The sequence below is a fragment of the Homo sapiens genome, chromosome 2 (assembly GCF_000001405.40).
Source record: "Homo sapiens chromosome 2, GRCh38.p14 Primary Assembly".
NCBI classification, from domain to species: domain Eukaryota; kingdom Metazoa; phylum Chordata; class Mammalia; order Primates; family Hominidae; genus Homo; species Homo sapiens.
Genome location: NC_000002.12, coordinates 157,788,762 through 157,805,603, shown reverse-complemented (window position 1 = coordinate 157,805,603; position 16,842 = coordinate 157,788,762). Strand labels below are relative to the sequence as shown.

The window sequence follows — 16,842 nt, the reverse complement described above, 5'->3', positions numbered from 1 at the left end:
CCATAAATTATTTTTCCACATTGCCTCTGCCTTTTATATTAAAGAGAATTATTATTTTTTCCTTATGGAAGGCATAGTACAGAATGCCTAAAGATATATAAAGAAAAAAACTGTGATGGAATCATAGTGAGAGCCCTTACCAATGGTGAGCAAGCGTAGGTTAGAAAGTGTCTTCACGTGGATGATGTAAAAGTCATTCAAAATAGGGGTGGGTGATTGTATGACCTGTCTTCCAAGATTCTTTCTAATTCACAGATTGTTAGAAATTGAATTGAGAAGAGTATCAGGAATGTCCTTATTGAATGAAGGTACTCACTAAAGTATGTGTTGAAGAATGAGTTTAGGCCATCAGGCAAGATAAATGAACATTTTGTCAAATTTTCCAATGGGAAAGAATTTTAGAGTTCATCTTACAACTTTCCCCTCATCCTCAATATTATAGTTAACTGTATGCTACCCATAAGTCTAGTTTTCAGAAACATGCTGTATTATAGATTAGCACTTAGATTGCCTGATATGGGTTCTGAAAGTTGCATATAGAAGTGTATTATATTCTCAGTTATTCTGTGACCAATACCACAGTAAAATTTTGGGTAGTACATTGTGGGGTATCTGTGGCTTTATCTAGCTGTAAAATTGTGATGAGCAAAAAAAGTGCCAAACTTGGTTTCAAGCCCACATACATTAGAAATTGAGCTAAGCGCTAGCTTCTTAACTACATACAGTCTGATCTTTAAGTGGAATTTGAAAAGTAACATGGGATTTGGAAAGTCGTTTTGTACTACCCTGGTGATGTGTCTGTTTTTAGTAGAATATCATGGGAATGTTCTGTCTTCTAAGAAAGTAGGCCTGAGACATTGTAAGAAACAGTATTGATTTAAAGAGGGTACCTTAGTTAAGGCAGGAGGTCTCTAACCATTTTCTGAATAGCGATTTTTCTTGTGTCTGACATACTAAAATCAGTTACCAGGGATAGACGGTCTTATCCAAGAACAGAAGGGAGATGTGCGTACACGAGAGGCACGGATTCATACTCTGAACCCTTCAGATAATATTTTGCAGTCCCCAGTAGCCTGTGATTTTTCAGTTAGAGATTTTGGCATTACAGCCTTGCACAAGGATTTAGTTGAACCCAAGCAAGATATGCAGCTATGACTACCTTCATACAAGTTTATATCCCATTTCAAAAATATTTAGCTGTATTCATAAAATATTATTCCAACATTAAAAAAAATTAAAGCTTTCTTCCTTGACTGTTGGACTTGTTGACGTCTGTGATGTTAGAGAGGTTAATGAAATTTCTAAAACTGTAGAACAGTGTCATTTTTGTCAGGTATCCGCTAAGTGCTCAGTCTAAAATATCTGGTACCATCTGGTTATCTGATATAGTACAAAGACTGAGCATTTAAGGACTAAGGCAGTTACTTGAAGTGTTGTCCAAGAACTCCAAAGGCGCCTGAGACTTTCTCAGGGGTTTCACAAGGTCCTCCTTCTTCCAATGATATGTGTGATACTGGATTTTCTATATATAGTTCAGCCAGTACATGTTGTAACAGAATGAATGTAGATCATATATGAGAATCCAGCTGTGTTTTATTGAACAGAGATTTTCTAAAAAGCAGGAAAACAATGCCACTTTTCTCATAACATGTTTTTTAAAAATACATCATAGCTCTTTTAAAATAAAAAAAAAATAAGGTAGTATGTTATTGTTATTTTATTATGAATATAATATTTTAAAAATTCTGTTTAAATTTTTAACACTGTAAATATCAAGAGATGTAGCCTACATACACACGCTTCTCAGTAATTTTCAAGAGTTTAAAGAGATTCTGAGACCAAAAACATTTAAAAAATACTGGAGTAAGGCAATCCCAGAACTATTGAATTATTGCCACTCCCATTTTCCACTACTAGTTTCTCTTTCTTGCCAACTTACATATGAACGCTCCTTAGCCAAAAATATTTGAGAGCAGGAGAGTTGAAATTTTACTTTTAAAAATGCAATTTTCTTTTTAGTATATTTTAAAATTAAAAATAGATCCTTGGGACTTCGGGTTGAGATTTTAGCGTATTGATGTTTCTTATAATTGAAATATGGTCAGGAAATACCAGAACATTCCCCTTTCCACATTCTTTTTTTCTTTCCTTTTGGGGGTGCTGTTTTTAATAGCTGAGTTTACTGGTCAGGATAAGCACTGCAGACCCTGAACAAAATGGCAACCAGTAAGTTGACTTTTTTCCCAAAGATTTTTGGCAGATTTTGAGCTGTCTTTAAACACTAGAGACGGAATTAGTCCCTACTGTTTGAGGGTCTGAATTTATAATTCTTTTTCTGTCTTCTATTTATGAGCCTAAATTATTGTTTTAATTTTGTTCGCACAATGATAATCTGTTAATAGGTATTTGGGACGTGGGCTTTTGCTGGCTTTGTGACGTGGAAAATATGCCAGTGGTGATTGTTTCTTAGATTTTTTTTTTTAATAGTAAAAGGAGTCTTGATTTGAAGCTTGTTAACTGTTGACTTTTACTATTACTTGAGCTAAATTCTACAGATTAAAGTTATAGAGATGATAAATCTCTTAATCTTGCCATTCCTTTGCAGGTCTCTCTGTGTGTGTCTGTGTGCATGGTGGGGAAGGGATGCTACTAATTCTTTAGAATTTAAACTTAAATTGAGTTGATTAATTCAGGAAAAATTCTAATTAAACTGTTATTAAATGTGCACCTACTTGGCTCTGGCAGTGATGAACAAGATAGACTATAGATTTTCCTCCCGTGGAATTCACAGTCTAGTGACAGAGACAGATGTTCAAAAGCACACACAGTTATGAATACATAATTATTAATTAGGATGATTTGTATGAGTGAAACTTAAAGTGATCTATGAGAATGAGCAGAGAGTACTTAAGGGTTTAGACAGGCTTCTAGAAGGTGGTAGCCTTTAGAGAAGCCATTGAGACTTACGGGATGAGTAGGAATTCAGTAGGTTGGGCCCTGAAAGAAGGGCCCAATCATAGGGAGCATCACGTACAGATGTCCAGAGATAGACAGAAAGTGGCTGGTGGGGGTGATAATAATGGGTAGTGGGGACTGAGGAACTATGGAATGATGGTGAGAGCCAAGGGGGCAATGAAGATAGGTGAGTAGAGTGCCTAGAGTGCCTTACCTCCGTTCTGACCTTTGCCTTCCTCTCTAGCCTTCTTGGGTATTCGCCGACTCTTTGTGACTCTTCCAGACCCTTTGTGTCCTGGCCATTCTTGCGTTTTTTCAATCCTGAGGTTTGCCCTAAGTCCTCAGGACACACCATGCTTGCTCTGGCCACAGGCACCTCAATAGAAGTGCCTTTTCCCTTAAATATTACCCTATCTGTGTCCTGTATTCACCCTCTCCCACCACACCTCCCAACACACTTACCCTTTTCCTAGTACCTCTACTCATCCTTCTGATTCCTGATTCTTTTCAGATGTTACCTCCCCAGGGAACCTCTGCACCCTCCAGAAAGTCTCAAGTTGTTTTGTTAACACAGTTATTTTAACTATGTTTCTTCCCAACTCTTATTCAGTTTTTAATTATGGAATCTTGGATGATTATTTGATTACCACCATAGACATATCTTGTAAGTGCCACGATAGCAAGGACCCTGTTTATATTTACTATTTTAGGTTCCTAATATGTAGCACATAGTAGGTTTTGAGTAGTTCTTGAATGCATGAATGCATTAATGAAGGACTGGGAATTCAGATAAGACTGAGATAAGAAATAGTTTAGTTCAGCAATTTTCAATGGTTTGTGATGACATATCCCATAAAAAGTTTTCTGATGCACCCTCAATGTGTAAATTGGCCATACATTTTATATAAAATAAATAAGTACATATTATAAAACATACATAAAATAGCAATTAAATAAGGATAAAATATTTAAGGTGTTGCTAATGGCAGTGGAATCATACTATCATCAATGAAAGTCTCAAGCCACTCAGGATAATGTTTACTATCTATGACAGTAGTTGCAAATCCGTTTTTCAAATATTTTCAAATTTTGAATTTGGGGAGATTGTTTCATGTCAGATTGAACTGAATATTACTACTTTTCTCTAGTAAAGTGGTTAAGGAAGAACCAGTAGAAATAAGCGATGTTAAGTCTACTGTTTTCTTACTCTTCTTTGGTGCTTGCATTAATAATATGTGCAATCTCTAGTTTCTGTAATGGTTTTAGAACACTTGTCATTTGGGAAGGCTCATTTCACTGTAAGTAGCCAATATAACCTGTAATTCCACTTGAACGGACCTTCAGAACTACAAGTACATGGTTGTACTCTGTAAATAAATCATGTCCACGCTAACATTATGTAACTCCTAGTCTTTCTGAAAGATACCTCCTGTACTAGACTGTCATAGAGAACTGAGATAGAGACCAGATTAAGTCTCAAGTTATTTTCTACTTTATTAGATTAAAACATTCTTATGAAAAAACAGTTTAATAATTTCATTCCATAGCTCAATGAATGACCCTTGCTTGGTCCTTGGATGTGCATACCTGTTTTGGAGATGAGTGGACCAGTGCTGGAGACTGCCCTAGACAGATGATTATGATTCCATGCCGGGGGCTGATATCACTGCTGAGGGAGAGGTTTTTCACCAAGGGCTTACCTTTGAGCCGGAATCATGTATGACAGGAGGAGGCAATGGGGTTGGAGAGGGGTGGAGGAGGGGGCTCAGGGCAGTTCAAGCAGAGGGGAACAAAAAGCATATTCATGTCCAAAGGTACAGAGATGTGTTGGAGGAGTCACATTCTGGTTGTGAGGGGCCAAGATGAAGGATTTGTATATCCCCAAAAGGATCCACTATAGGAAAGATCTATGTGAACATGGAAATAATAAAAACAACAACAGTAGTAGGATCTTCCTCAAGTTTCATATGCTTTTAAAAATAGAAAAGGAAGGTAAATAAAAATCCCCTTTACCTCCTCCCTTACCTTGCTTTTAGGAAAGGGATTGACTGAACTATAATTATGGAACCAAAGAGAAATAAATTTAAGTGAAGGGTGGTAAGATATGATGGAGGTATGGTTTGTAAACAGACCGCCAGCCAAAAAAATTGATTTTTTTTTAATTTTAAAAATAATTAAAAACAAATAGAGATGGGGTCTCACTGTGTTGCCCAGGCTGGTCTCAAACTCCTGGGCTCAAGTGATCATCCCACCTCGGCCTCCGAAAGTACTGGGATTACAGCTGTGAGCCACCGCACCCAGCCTAAATAATTTGATTTTAAAGGTCAACACTCCAGACATGCTAGATAGCAATGGGCTTCCACTCTTTGCTTTAAAGCTGAAAGAGTACAAGCACACTAACCTATCATTAAAGAACTTTACCAGCTTTTTGTTTATTTTACCATCCAGAAAATTGCAACTAACCAAACTCCCATCACATTCCTGATGTTTCACATTATTCAAATGGAAAAGTTTGTTTTTATTTTTACATGATTTTAGTTGTTGTCTATCCTTGTTAAATTTGTTTAATGCAGAAATGCATTGCTTTGCCTTAGATGGGGTAAAAGTTTGTATTTTTTTGTTCTTTGTTTTTGCTGTAGGTCTGTATGTTGATGTAGGTTGCTCTGCCTCCAGTCCTTTTAAAGGAGAAGTAAGACTCTAACATAGTAATTTGGCTTGAATTATTCAGTCGTTTAATCCTTAACATCATGTTAAAATAGTCTATTCATGCTTCTCAGGTTTTTTAATTTAGTACCAATTTTGCATTCAATGGGGTAAGATAAAATTCAAACCTAAAATCTTTTGGGACTGCCTCACTTTGTAGCTGAAAATTTTTTGTTTCCTTATTGATTTCTTTGTAAGAGAGTAGACTTAGAAACTATCCTTGGAGTGACTACCAGTTAGAAGTGAATATGACTAACTCTTTAAAGTGATATGTTTAGGTCCACATAAAAGGTATGTGTTTAAATGTAGTAAGAAGTAAGGCAATATATCTGAGGGTGATTAGTAAGAAGGGCCTTGAATGGCAGTTTGAAGGTGGTATGCTTAATTTGTCTTCCTGCAGTTAGATATTTATGCTTTACTTACATCTCTTCTTTTCCCTTTACAGTTGTACAATGGTAGATGGAGTGATGATTCTTCCTGTGCTTATCATGATTGCTCTCCCCTCCCCTAGTATGGAAGGTAAGTGACTCACATCTTTTTGGGTTAAGATAAGTATACTGTGATTTTTTTTTTTGGCTTACTATAAACTACTTCTTAAGCCTATCAAACTTAAAACACTCTTTTTATAATAAATATTTGGTGATTATTGACTATTTTGAAGGAAATTCTTATATACATTATATCTGAATATTTACATACACCTATTTTTTTAAAAAATTCAACCTAATTTTCTACTTAAAATAAATATAGGGCCAAGCATGGTGCCTCACGCCTGTAATCCCAGCACTTTGGGAGGTCGAGGCAGGTGGATCACCTGAGGTCAGGAGTTCGAGATCAGCCAGACAACATGGTGAAACCCTGTCTCTACTAAAAATGCAAAAATTAGCCAGGCATGGTGGCGGGCACCTGTAATCCCAGCTACTTGGGAGGCTGAGGCAGGAGAATTGCTTGAATCTGGGAGGCGGAGGTTGTAGTGAGCCAAGATCACGACATTGAACTCCAGCCCGGGCAACAGAGCGAGACTCTGTCTCAAAAATAAATAAATAAATAAAAATATAAAGGAGAAATAAGAGAAAATTCTGTAATTAACAATAAAACATGTGTTTAAACAAATGCGAGGCTGGGTGCCGTGGCTCATGCCTGTAATCCCAGCACTTTTGGAGGCCAATGCAGGTGGATCACTTGAGGTCAAGAGTTCGAGACCAACCTGGCCAACATGGTGAAACCCCATCTCTACTAAAAATACAAAAATTAGTTGGGTGTGGTGGTGTGTACCTGTAATCCCAGATACTTGGGAGGCTGAGGTGGGAGGATCGCTTGAACCTGGGAGGCGGAGGTTGCAGTGAGCTGAAATCACACCACTGCACTCCAGCCTGGGCAACAGAGCAAGATTCCATCTCAAACCCCCACCCCCCACCCCCTCCAAAAAAGCCCAAATGTGATATATTATGGTGTAGTTGGGCATGAGTCTACAAGAAGACATGATGAAGTAATACATGCTTGCACCTATATAGGTAATAATCTTCAACATCTTCGAAAATAGATTGGTACTGGTGTGTTATATTGGTGGCTTAGTTGTCATAAGTGGTCTCTTACCTTCAGTGATTGAATTTTCTGAATTGGTGAACAGATTTTGGTAGAATTAAAAAAAACCAGAACCGTTGGCCCTTGATTTATATACTAGTTATATGTTTGGAATATTTAGTATACATGAAGGCAGTGTAAGACATACATACTTTGTGTTTTTATGTATGACAGGGTTAGGTGCTGGTTTCAATTCTACAAAGATTATTCATGAAAATGAATGCTCGGTGGGATAGTTGATACTTGTAGTGCAACGGCCATGTCTTGGCCTATTTGGGATGTTACAACAAAAATACCAGAAACTGGGTGGATCAAAAACTAAACATTTATTTCTCACAGTCCTGGAGGCTGGGAAGTCTAAGTTCAAGGTGCTGGCAGATTCAGTGTCTGGTAAGGGCTCGTTCCTCATAGACGGCACCTTCTCTGTGTTGTCTCATGGTAGAAGGGGCTAGCTAGCCCTCTGGGATCTCTTTTATATCAGCACAAATCCCAATCCTGAGGGGTCTGCCCTAATACCCTCACCTTGGCAGTTAAGATACTCGCATGAATTTTGGGGAGACACAAACATTCAGGCCCTAGGAGTCTAATTCTTAGTTGTGTGGCACCACCCAGGCATTTCAGTGCCTTTGGCATCTCTGACCCTTGCTTACTTACTTTCATTACTCACTTTCCCATCCCCTCATTTCCAAAAAGTTGCTCAGGGATGGTCCTGCCCTTGTTGAAAAGGACAAAATAGATAATCAAGAGAGAAAGATAGTAAAAGTTACTCATCATTCCCTTCACTTACATGTAATTGCTTTTAACATGTTGTTATATATCTTTCTAGATAGAGAAAGCCTAAACTCTACTCTATTGCACATTGAGCAGTGCCCACTTTATTTTACAAGTGTTCCTCCATGAAGAGTGGTGCTTATTGTAGGAATCTCAACCTCTTTATGATCAGATGGGACAGTAAGACTAATGCCCTTGTTACAGGTTCTTTGGGGTATGGTCTTCTTTATATAAATGATGAGTTTCCAAGGAGGCATATAATTTGACAAGTTAGTATAGCCAACAATGTGAAAAAATCAGTACTTAGAATATTATACATCTATTTCATTATATATTAGGTTCATAATATTTGATCTGTTCCTATCTCCTTCTCATACTTAATGACATATATTATACTTCTCCATTGTCCTATATGGTAGCTGATAGTCACATATAGCATTTGAAATGTGGCTAATATGAGTGGAAATATGCTGTAAATGTAAGATACAAGCTGGATTTTGAAGACAATAAAAATGTAAATTTCACCTGTTTTTTCCTACTGCTGTGATAAAACTTAAATTACATTAGGTGGCTCACATTTTGTTTCTGTTGGCCAGTGCTGTTATAGACCATTTTAGATATCTAGTTTATATTCCACTCTAAGCAGTGTTGTTAAAGATATTCCCATAATATGGCAGTTGTGTCAGTTAGTGCCAAGAAGGTATGGGGAAGGGATCCTGAGTGGCAATGTTGAAGGAATTAATACGAGGAAATGGGCTTATATTAAAGCTGGGAGGATTTGGTGAGTTAACAGTGATTTTTCAATTGGGGTAGTTTTATCCCCCAGGGGATACTTGATAATTGCTGGAGACATTTCTAACAGTCAAGTTTCTAGGACTTTTTTTTTTTTTACCTCTTTTAAATTGGTAAATAATGATTATTATTTAAAAATCTAAGGAATATTGAGAACTAAAGTCCCTCCAAATTTCACTGCCTTCCTTAGTTACCATATCAATTCTATATGATATTTTTGTTGTTACGGTTTTGTTGTTGTTGTTGTTTGAAACGGGGTCTCTTTCACCCAGGTTGGGGTGCAATGGTGTGATATCAGCTCACTGCAACCTTCTCCTCCCAGGCTCAAGTGATCCTCCTACGTCAGCCTCCTGAGTAGCTGGGACCACAGGCTTGTGCCACCACAACTAGCTAATTGTTTTGCATTTTTAGTAGAGACAGAGTTTTGCCGTGTTGCCCAGGCTGGTCTCCGACTCCTGAGCTCAAGTGATCCACCCACCTCGGCCTCCCAAAGTGCTGAGATTATAGGCTTGAGCCACCTTGGCCGGCTATCGATTCTGTATGATATTTTGCCTTTTAATTTTTTTTTTTTTTTTTTGAGGCAGAGTCTCACTCTGTCACCAGGGCTGGAGTGCAGTGGCACGATCCTGGCTTACTGTGGTCTCAACCTCCTGGGCTCAAGCATTCCTCCTGTCTCAGCCTCCCAAGTAGCTGGGACCACAGGCAGGGAACCATGCCTGGCTAACTTTTGTATTTTTTGTAGAGCTGGGGTCTCACTGTGTTGCCTAGGCTGGTGTCCAACTCCTGGGCTCAAGCAGTCCGCCCACCTCTATCTCCCAGTGTGCTGGGATTACAGGCGTGAGCCACCACACTCTGCCTCTGTGGTATGGGGCAGTTCAGATGATATCATGGGTGGACCTGTGATGTAGGCAAGGTATGAAAAAAGAGAGAAGAGACAAAGAAGTGGAAATGTAGTATGAGGAGAGAAGGAGAGGTAGAGAGAGAATGGGGAAAAGAGTGGGGCGGAAAAAGGGCAGTTATGGAGCAATGCTAATAACCATGCCGTTGGTTGTTTTTTTTTAATCCTGCTTTCAGCTCTTAAGCTGAAATAACCTCTTAATGCCACAGTGAAGACATGTAAAACATGTAAAAGTTAGTTTAGGCTGAAATGGAAATGGAAATAGATCGACCCTTAAGGTTTTGCTATTTAATATACCACCACCATTAGGATGTTTACAAGTATGGAAAAGAGCATATCATACTTTAATTGCAATTGCTGTTTTTTTAAAAAAATGGAATATCCAGTGAGTGCTATAGCCTAGCATACTCTAATCATAATAGCAGTTGCCTTAGTGCCGTCTTTCCTCTGTGACTCAACTCCCTATTGTGTTTGTGTGTGTGTGTGTGTGTGTGTGTGTGTGTGTGTGTGTGTGTGTGTGTGTTCTATGGAAGGCATTTTGTTTTTATATATTTAGTAGGAAAATTTTAAAAACCAAAGAGAAACCCTATTTATAATACACTCTAGTATCCTCAACCTTGGTTAAAAAGCAAATGTTAAGTACTAATACTTAATCCAAAAGAGATAAATAATGGGGCCGATAACAGAAATCTGTAATAGCAGTGTAGCTTGTCTACTGCTGAGCAAGCTTTAGACGACTGCGTTTAAAAGGAAATAGACCCATATTTGATGTTTGTAGAACAGATAGGCATCCTATTAATTGTGCTGTAATGAAGCTAGATCACATTCTTGGGACATAAATAAGAGAGTCATAGAGATTTTGTTCTAATACATTTTGTTGGGTAGTGTACTCTTCTTAGTCTATTTAAAAAAAAAAAACTTTTACCCCTTTGTCTCCGAAATGTCTAATAAATATTGATTAGAAATAGTGGTAACATTTCAAATATTAGTTCTAAACAGTGATTTTTTTTTTTTTGGTAGAGTTTGAGTGTACTTCAGAACATTTCTCAAGTTCTATGGAATCCTAAATGCTCTGGGCAATAAAAGATTTTTTCACCACTTATATTTGGAAAATGCTTTCCAATATAATGGCCTGTTTGATGATTATAGGTAATATTTAATGAGTGCTTAAAATGCACCAGATATTGGGCTAGCTTTCATGCATAATTTCCTATAATCCTCACAAGTGCCCTCATAAGATACATTGTTTTTGGATGTGCTTTTGGATTAGTTAAAGCTCTTGCTTAAGGTTACACAGCCAACAAAAGGCATCATATACTTTGAGGAATGGTGTTCAAGAGCTCCAGTCATTATCAGTCCTCTTCAAAATTTTTCATTTTTTTTTGCCCTAAATTAGCTACATCCACATTCATATTATGTCTGGTGCATGCTAGAATCCAGCTCGATCCAGTCTGTTTGAGAGCGTGAGAAGAGAGTTTGTAATAGCAAATGATGAGGCCCCTTCACCTGGGGTTGTGTTTCTTACTTTTCTTGTCTCTCCTACCAGTAATCATTTTTCATGTTCATTATATATACAACTCTAGCTGCAGGAAGAGTTTTATTTGCTCTCATAGAGAAGAGCACTTGAGTCCTAATTACCTGTATATCCTTCCCTTTCCTTCCCATTAATAAGACTAATCATGCTCTAATACTACTATTATACCACCAGGGTGAAGGCAGAACCTCCATGTTTGGCTTTTCTTTTGTCCCTGTACACATTTGCAGGTGAAGACTATGACACAATTACTTTAAAGGGAATATTGCTCCTTTGGAAATATTTCAAAGCTGAGACGACCCACATTTTATTAAATTTGTAAGCCACAGTTAGATTTTATTATAGCCAGGAAGGCCAGACTTATGCAGAATTTTTTCGCAAGAGATTTCGGCCTGTTCTAGAGAAGACTGCTAGGTACTAAATTATTTTCTGAGTTATCTTGATTTTAGTATTTACAAAGCCATCACTACTCAGACTTTCCAGCCCCACTACCCAATGATGGAAGGAAGGAGATAACTTCAATGGACTTTTTGTTAGGGTTACAAAGGTGCCCCTCTTTGCTGCTGGGGGGAAGAATAGAATAAGCCTTTCTTTGATTTTCTCATTATTAGGGATTCAGGAAGTTCTTGAAGGGGTGAATGAATGGAAGAGAAATGTCTTAGTATTACATTTGTTTCTTCTTCTTCTTAGTATTACATTTGTATCTCTTGTTCAGAATAAAATCTTTTTCTTTGGCATATCATCAAACGGAAGATGTTTTTAGGGAAAGGGATGACATACTAAGGCATTTGCTACTACTGGGACCTAGAATGTAAATATCTGATGAAGCATCATACTTTTAAGACACTGCTTCTTTATTATCAAGTTTTCTTATTTTACAAAATGATCCTATACTAGTTGATGCAAGGTGAGCTGTGACAAAGCATCCTTTTAGCCTTTCCTTCCTGGGAAGTGTTTGTTTCAGCCATGAGTAGTTAAACTAGTGCCACATTCTTTTCTTTCTTGTTTTTTTTTTAGTGGACAGTATAAGAGGGGTATGGATAGCAGTAGGGTGTGGGAGGATGCTAAAAATTCATTCAAAGAAAGTCAAATATTGAACAGATGAGAAAACAAATTCAACACCTAAGCTCATGAAATGATTTCCTTGTGGTCAACAGTGTGCAGTGCAGTCACTTCTAAGTGTTCTCTTTTATAAAGACAGGTCTCCAGAGTGAGAGGATGAATGCCATCTCCTCTTTATGGAAAAACTTGTAAAGCAGAAGGTTTGTAGGCATGTCATATATGCCACTTTCACTCTTGAAAACACCAAGGAAAATAAAACACACTTAAAAATTAATTTGTAACTCTTAAAACACTGCAAACTGTCCTGCGGAACTTTCCTCTGCAGCCCGGGATGAACTCAGGCAAGATTCCATACAGAATGTTTATTCCTAATAGCCATAGTGACTCAGAACTCATGTCATTCCAAGATAGTGTAAGACACAGGCGAGGTGGCTTTCAAACTTTTGACTGTGACTCACAGCAAGAAACATTTTGGAGTAAGACCCACTGCATAGATAGTGCCCACACACATCTGAAATGAAAATTTCATGAAACAGTAATTACTCTTACTATGTTTAATGTGCACCTATTTCTTGTCTTTTTAAATTTTATTCAGTTTTATTTCACTTGAAAAGACAGAAAGAAACCTTGTCTTAAACTACTGAGTTGATTTTGCTACCCAATAGTGGGTCATACCCCATATTGAAATTAAAAAAGACAACACCAGTCTGCTTCAAGGGTTCACTGTGCAGGTGTTCCTACTGCCCTCATGTGACAGCTCTGACACCTGACCATAGGTCATCTGGTGTATTCCTCAACAAAGCTGGTCTAGAACCTTTTATTTTTTCACAACTCCATGTAGCCTGACCATCCTTTCTCTTTAAGTCAGTGATTTGGGAGGAAGAGGGAAGTTTACATTTGCACCTTCTCAGCCTGGGTCATAACACTGGAGCAGCTGTGGCCTGATTCTCATCAGCTGAATCTGAGCCCTGCAAGCAGGGTGTTTCCTAGAGCCATGGTTAATGCTACATCTAATTCTTTGTTACGGGCTAGAACAGAACATGGACTTTGCTGAGAATATGTATATGGGATGTGGGGAGGAGAGTTGTGGGAAGGAGAGAAACAATAAAAGGAAGAATGAGAAATTCCTCTTGGGCACATGATGGTGACATTCACCTTAAAAAAAAAAACCTGCCAGTATTTTTTAAATTGGTGATTTGGGGGATTGGGGTGGGGATGACTCCTTCGTTTTATTTCTTGCTGCATTTGTTTTGTCTTCTGAATTATGGTACCTACACCAAATTAGTTTTAGTTGAAAAACAACAGCAAAACAGATTCATTCAGAAAAGTTACAAAGAATGGGTAGAAAAAAAATTACCAACAGTCCAGTTTAGAATTTGACTTCTCTGATATATATAATACTGTAGCATGCCATGTAGAGTTACAGTAATGACTTCTTTTTATCCTTAACTTCACGTCCCAGTTCATATGCTTCAAATTTCAGTTTTGCAGAGGGTTAGGATCATGTTTGACATAGTATTGATGGTCAGAGTCAAAGAATGTGTTCTGAAAGGAAGGCTTTGGCCATGCATAGGAATCAAGCCTTTCTCAGGAAAGAGACAAGGCCAAAACACCACCGTTAGTCATCCTCTGTTTCACTATGTCTTTGCGTATATTCTCCTTCGCCTCTCTGTGCTTGTTGCCACCTGGTACGATGGAAACAATAACGGTACCCACCTTGTTGGGAGGAGTCATGAGACTACATGCCGAGTGCCCGGCACACAGTGAGCCCTAGAGCGTGAGAGGCCAGAATGTGGAGGTATTCATTGTTTTATCCCTAGTGTCTAAGACATTACCTGGTGTGCAGTTGGTGCTCAATAAATATTTGACAAATGAATAAATAATGTTGGCTAGAATAATAATTATGGTATTAGAGAAAAGATAATAAGAGACAGTGGGACTGATCTGGGCTGATCACATGCACTCTTTCAAATAATTTATTATGAGTTTGGGAAAAGTGAATCAGTTATAAGACAAACTTATGTTCTTTTAGTCAATTTAAACAGGAGTACCAGTTGACAACACTGGTAGGCATTGGTGACGTAAACATAAGCAAGAAGTGGTTCCTGCTTCAAGAAGTCATAGTCCAGTTGGATACAGCAAAGGTCACAGCATAGCATGAGGCGTATGGACAGGAAAGGCCTGCATTCCACATGGAGCTGGGTTTGGGGCTGGTGATGCAGGGAAGCTAAGTTTTGAAGGATAAGTAGCCATTAGACCAGCCGAGGAGGGACTAAGAAGGACATTGCAGGCAGGGGAAGGGTGAAGTCCAGAGACGTGAGATCATGAGATCATGAGCGGTCACCATGTCATGAGACGGAATTAAGGTTGAGAGTTGAGCCCTGCAGGCATGGCAGAGCCTTATGCTAAGGTGTTTGTCTTCTATCCTGAAGGCAATGGAGAACTGTGGAGAGATTAAGTAGGTGCAGTTTGTGTTTTGAAAGAGTGGTGTGTGGTGAAAGTGGATCATAGAGTGTGGCAAGATGAGAAGTAAAGGGATGGGAAAAACTAATCCTCCTGCAGTTTAGGGACAGGCAGGCACACATACTCCATTTTCAAAGGCATCCCAACTGTAGCAACTAAATGGTGGCAAACAAAACAAAAACAAAGCCTTAGTGCGAACGTAGAACTGTTACAGGTGGCTCACAAATGATATTAACAGTGACAAAACAACAATAATCTAATAATAATGCTATTGCTAGTTTTATTATGAAAGCAGAAGCCAGAGCTGCTGACTTTTCTAACAACTTTTGCAGGACATTTAAATCCCTCTAGCTGGCCCTTTGTTCCTGTGTTGCCATGGAGTGTCAATAAGCCCAGCTCAGAATAACCCAGGCAGTGAAATGAGAGGTACAGCTTGCTCACTGGCATGTTGGCTGGCCAGGTTACACTGTTTTCATTGCTCCCATCTTGGGAGGAGCACTGGGCAGCTGGTTGCCCTGGCAGCTGTGAAGGTGTATGTCTCTTGGCTGCCCAGAGTTCGAAACGGAACCAAAACTTGCCTGCCTACTGAGCATGTGCAGCTCCTGACTGAGCTGACAGCAACTGAAAAAAGCCCACTGAGCACCTGTCCCTTGTACACCAGCCCCTGGCCGACTGCCATTTAGGACAATGTGGACTTACTTAGTAGACAGGTGAGGTGCTGAGCAGATTTTAATGGTCTGAGGAAGATCTTGGGAACTTTGGCCCTACTTAAAAGGAAGAAAAAAAAAGCAGCAGGCTTCTGAGCAGTTCCATTTGGTGCTTCTGTGGTTAGTGGGTGGCCACACTGGCTACGTATGTACAGTATGTGCCTGAAGACTTCATATTGTTCTCCTTACAGCAGTTCAGTAAACTAAGTAAGTTTTCTCTTTGAGAGAAAGGCTTTCCTAAAAGTCTCCTAGTGGTAGCCATCCATGGTTTATACAGCCTCAGCTTTAGAAAGTTTTGGAGTTAAACTATTTTGTTTCATTTTATACCTGCTCTTTAATCCCTAGTGATTGTTAGTCATTTCTACAAGGTGTCTCTTTGCTAGATTATTATTTCTCAGTAGTCCAAATATTGGCACAAGTACAATCACAGAATAGAATCCCAGCATGTCAGGAGCTGTCTGTTCCCTTTTGGGATTTCTTCCATTTCCTTCTGGACTTTAATCTCCTCAGTAAGCTTGCCATTGTTGGACAGACTTGGTGGCCAGTGTGGATGGAAGCAGGCTCTGGAAGGAAATGCTTCTGAAATGACTGGTGGCATTAAAGCTACTATTTAAAAGTGACCCTTTGTAGATACTTGGGTTATCTTTAGGCTGTCAGTGATCTGCAGCTACAGGAGCCAGAGGGAATCTGCGGAAACTCTTGTTTGTTGCTCTCGCCTGGATTTGTGTTTAGATATTCTTGCTCCCCAGCCAGTGGCCTCGTGACACATCTCAGATTTAGCTGGCTTTCTTCTGCCAAAGTCCAAGATTATTGTGGAAACTGGGAATGGTTTGCCATGGCACAGATTGAAGGGGAGGGATTGTGTGTTTGAAAAGCCAGTTCAGCTTCACAGCACTCAAATGAGATGCTTTCTGTTTCTACCTGGAGTGTAGGCACCTGGAGCCTTTCTGTGGGCCCAGGGGTAAAAAAGGACAAGCTCAAAATGACTCAAATTTAACTGTCTCATTGTGACTGTAAGATCTTTATTCTGTGACTGATAAGCCAATCTTGTTCAATATGTTAAACCTGAGAATTAATGAATTGTTTTGGACTATATTAATTAGACTGATAGGGGAAAGAAGATATGTAAAGCAAAGATCAAGTTATAAAGGCTGGGATACAGAGGCACAGGCACATCTTCCTGGGGTTGAAGACATGGGATTCCTTTCTTCATTAACCTTTCATGGAGTTCTGGACTTGGTAGGGCCTTGGGAAATGAATGGGGAAATTGGAGGATAGGGAAGTAGCATTATCAGAGGCTTGGACTCTGCCCCAAGTTTTTACCCTTTTGACTGTTATTTTAAAATCGCTTTGGCTTCATCTAGGATGGAAAG

The 16,842-nt window shown here is 38.9% G+C and overlaps 1 protein-coding gene across 7 annotated transcripts in view; it reads left to right on the top strand.

Moving 5' to 3' along the window:
• The window catches only part of ACVR1 (activin A receptor type 1), a 139,885-nt gene that overhangs the window by 70,727 nt on the left and 52,316 nt on the right, over positions 1 to 16,842 (top strand). For all 7 annotated transcript variants that reach the window (NM_001111067.4, NM_001347665.1, NM_001347664.1 and 4 more), the window contains one exon: positions 6,104 to 6,177. In NM_001111067.4, coding sequence (NP_001104537.1) covers positions 6,111 to 6,177 — 67 coding nt within the window. In that variant the 5' untranslated portion in view covers positions 6,104 to 6,110. The remainder of the gene's footprint in view (positions 1 to 6,103; positions 6,178 to 16,842) is intronic.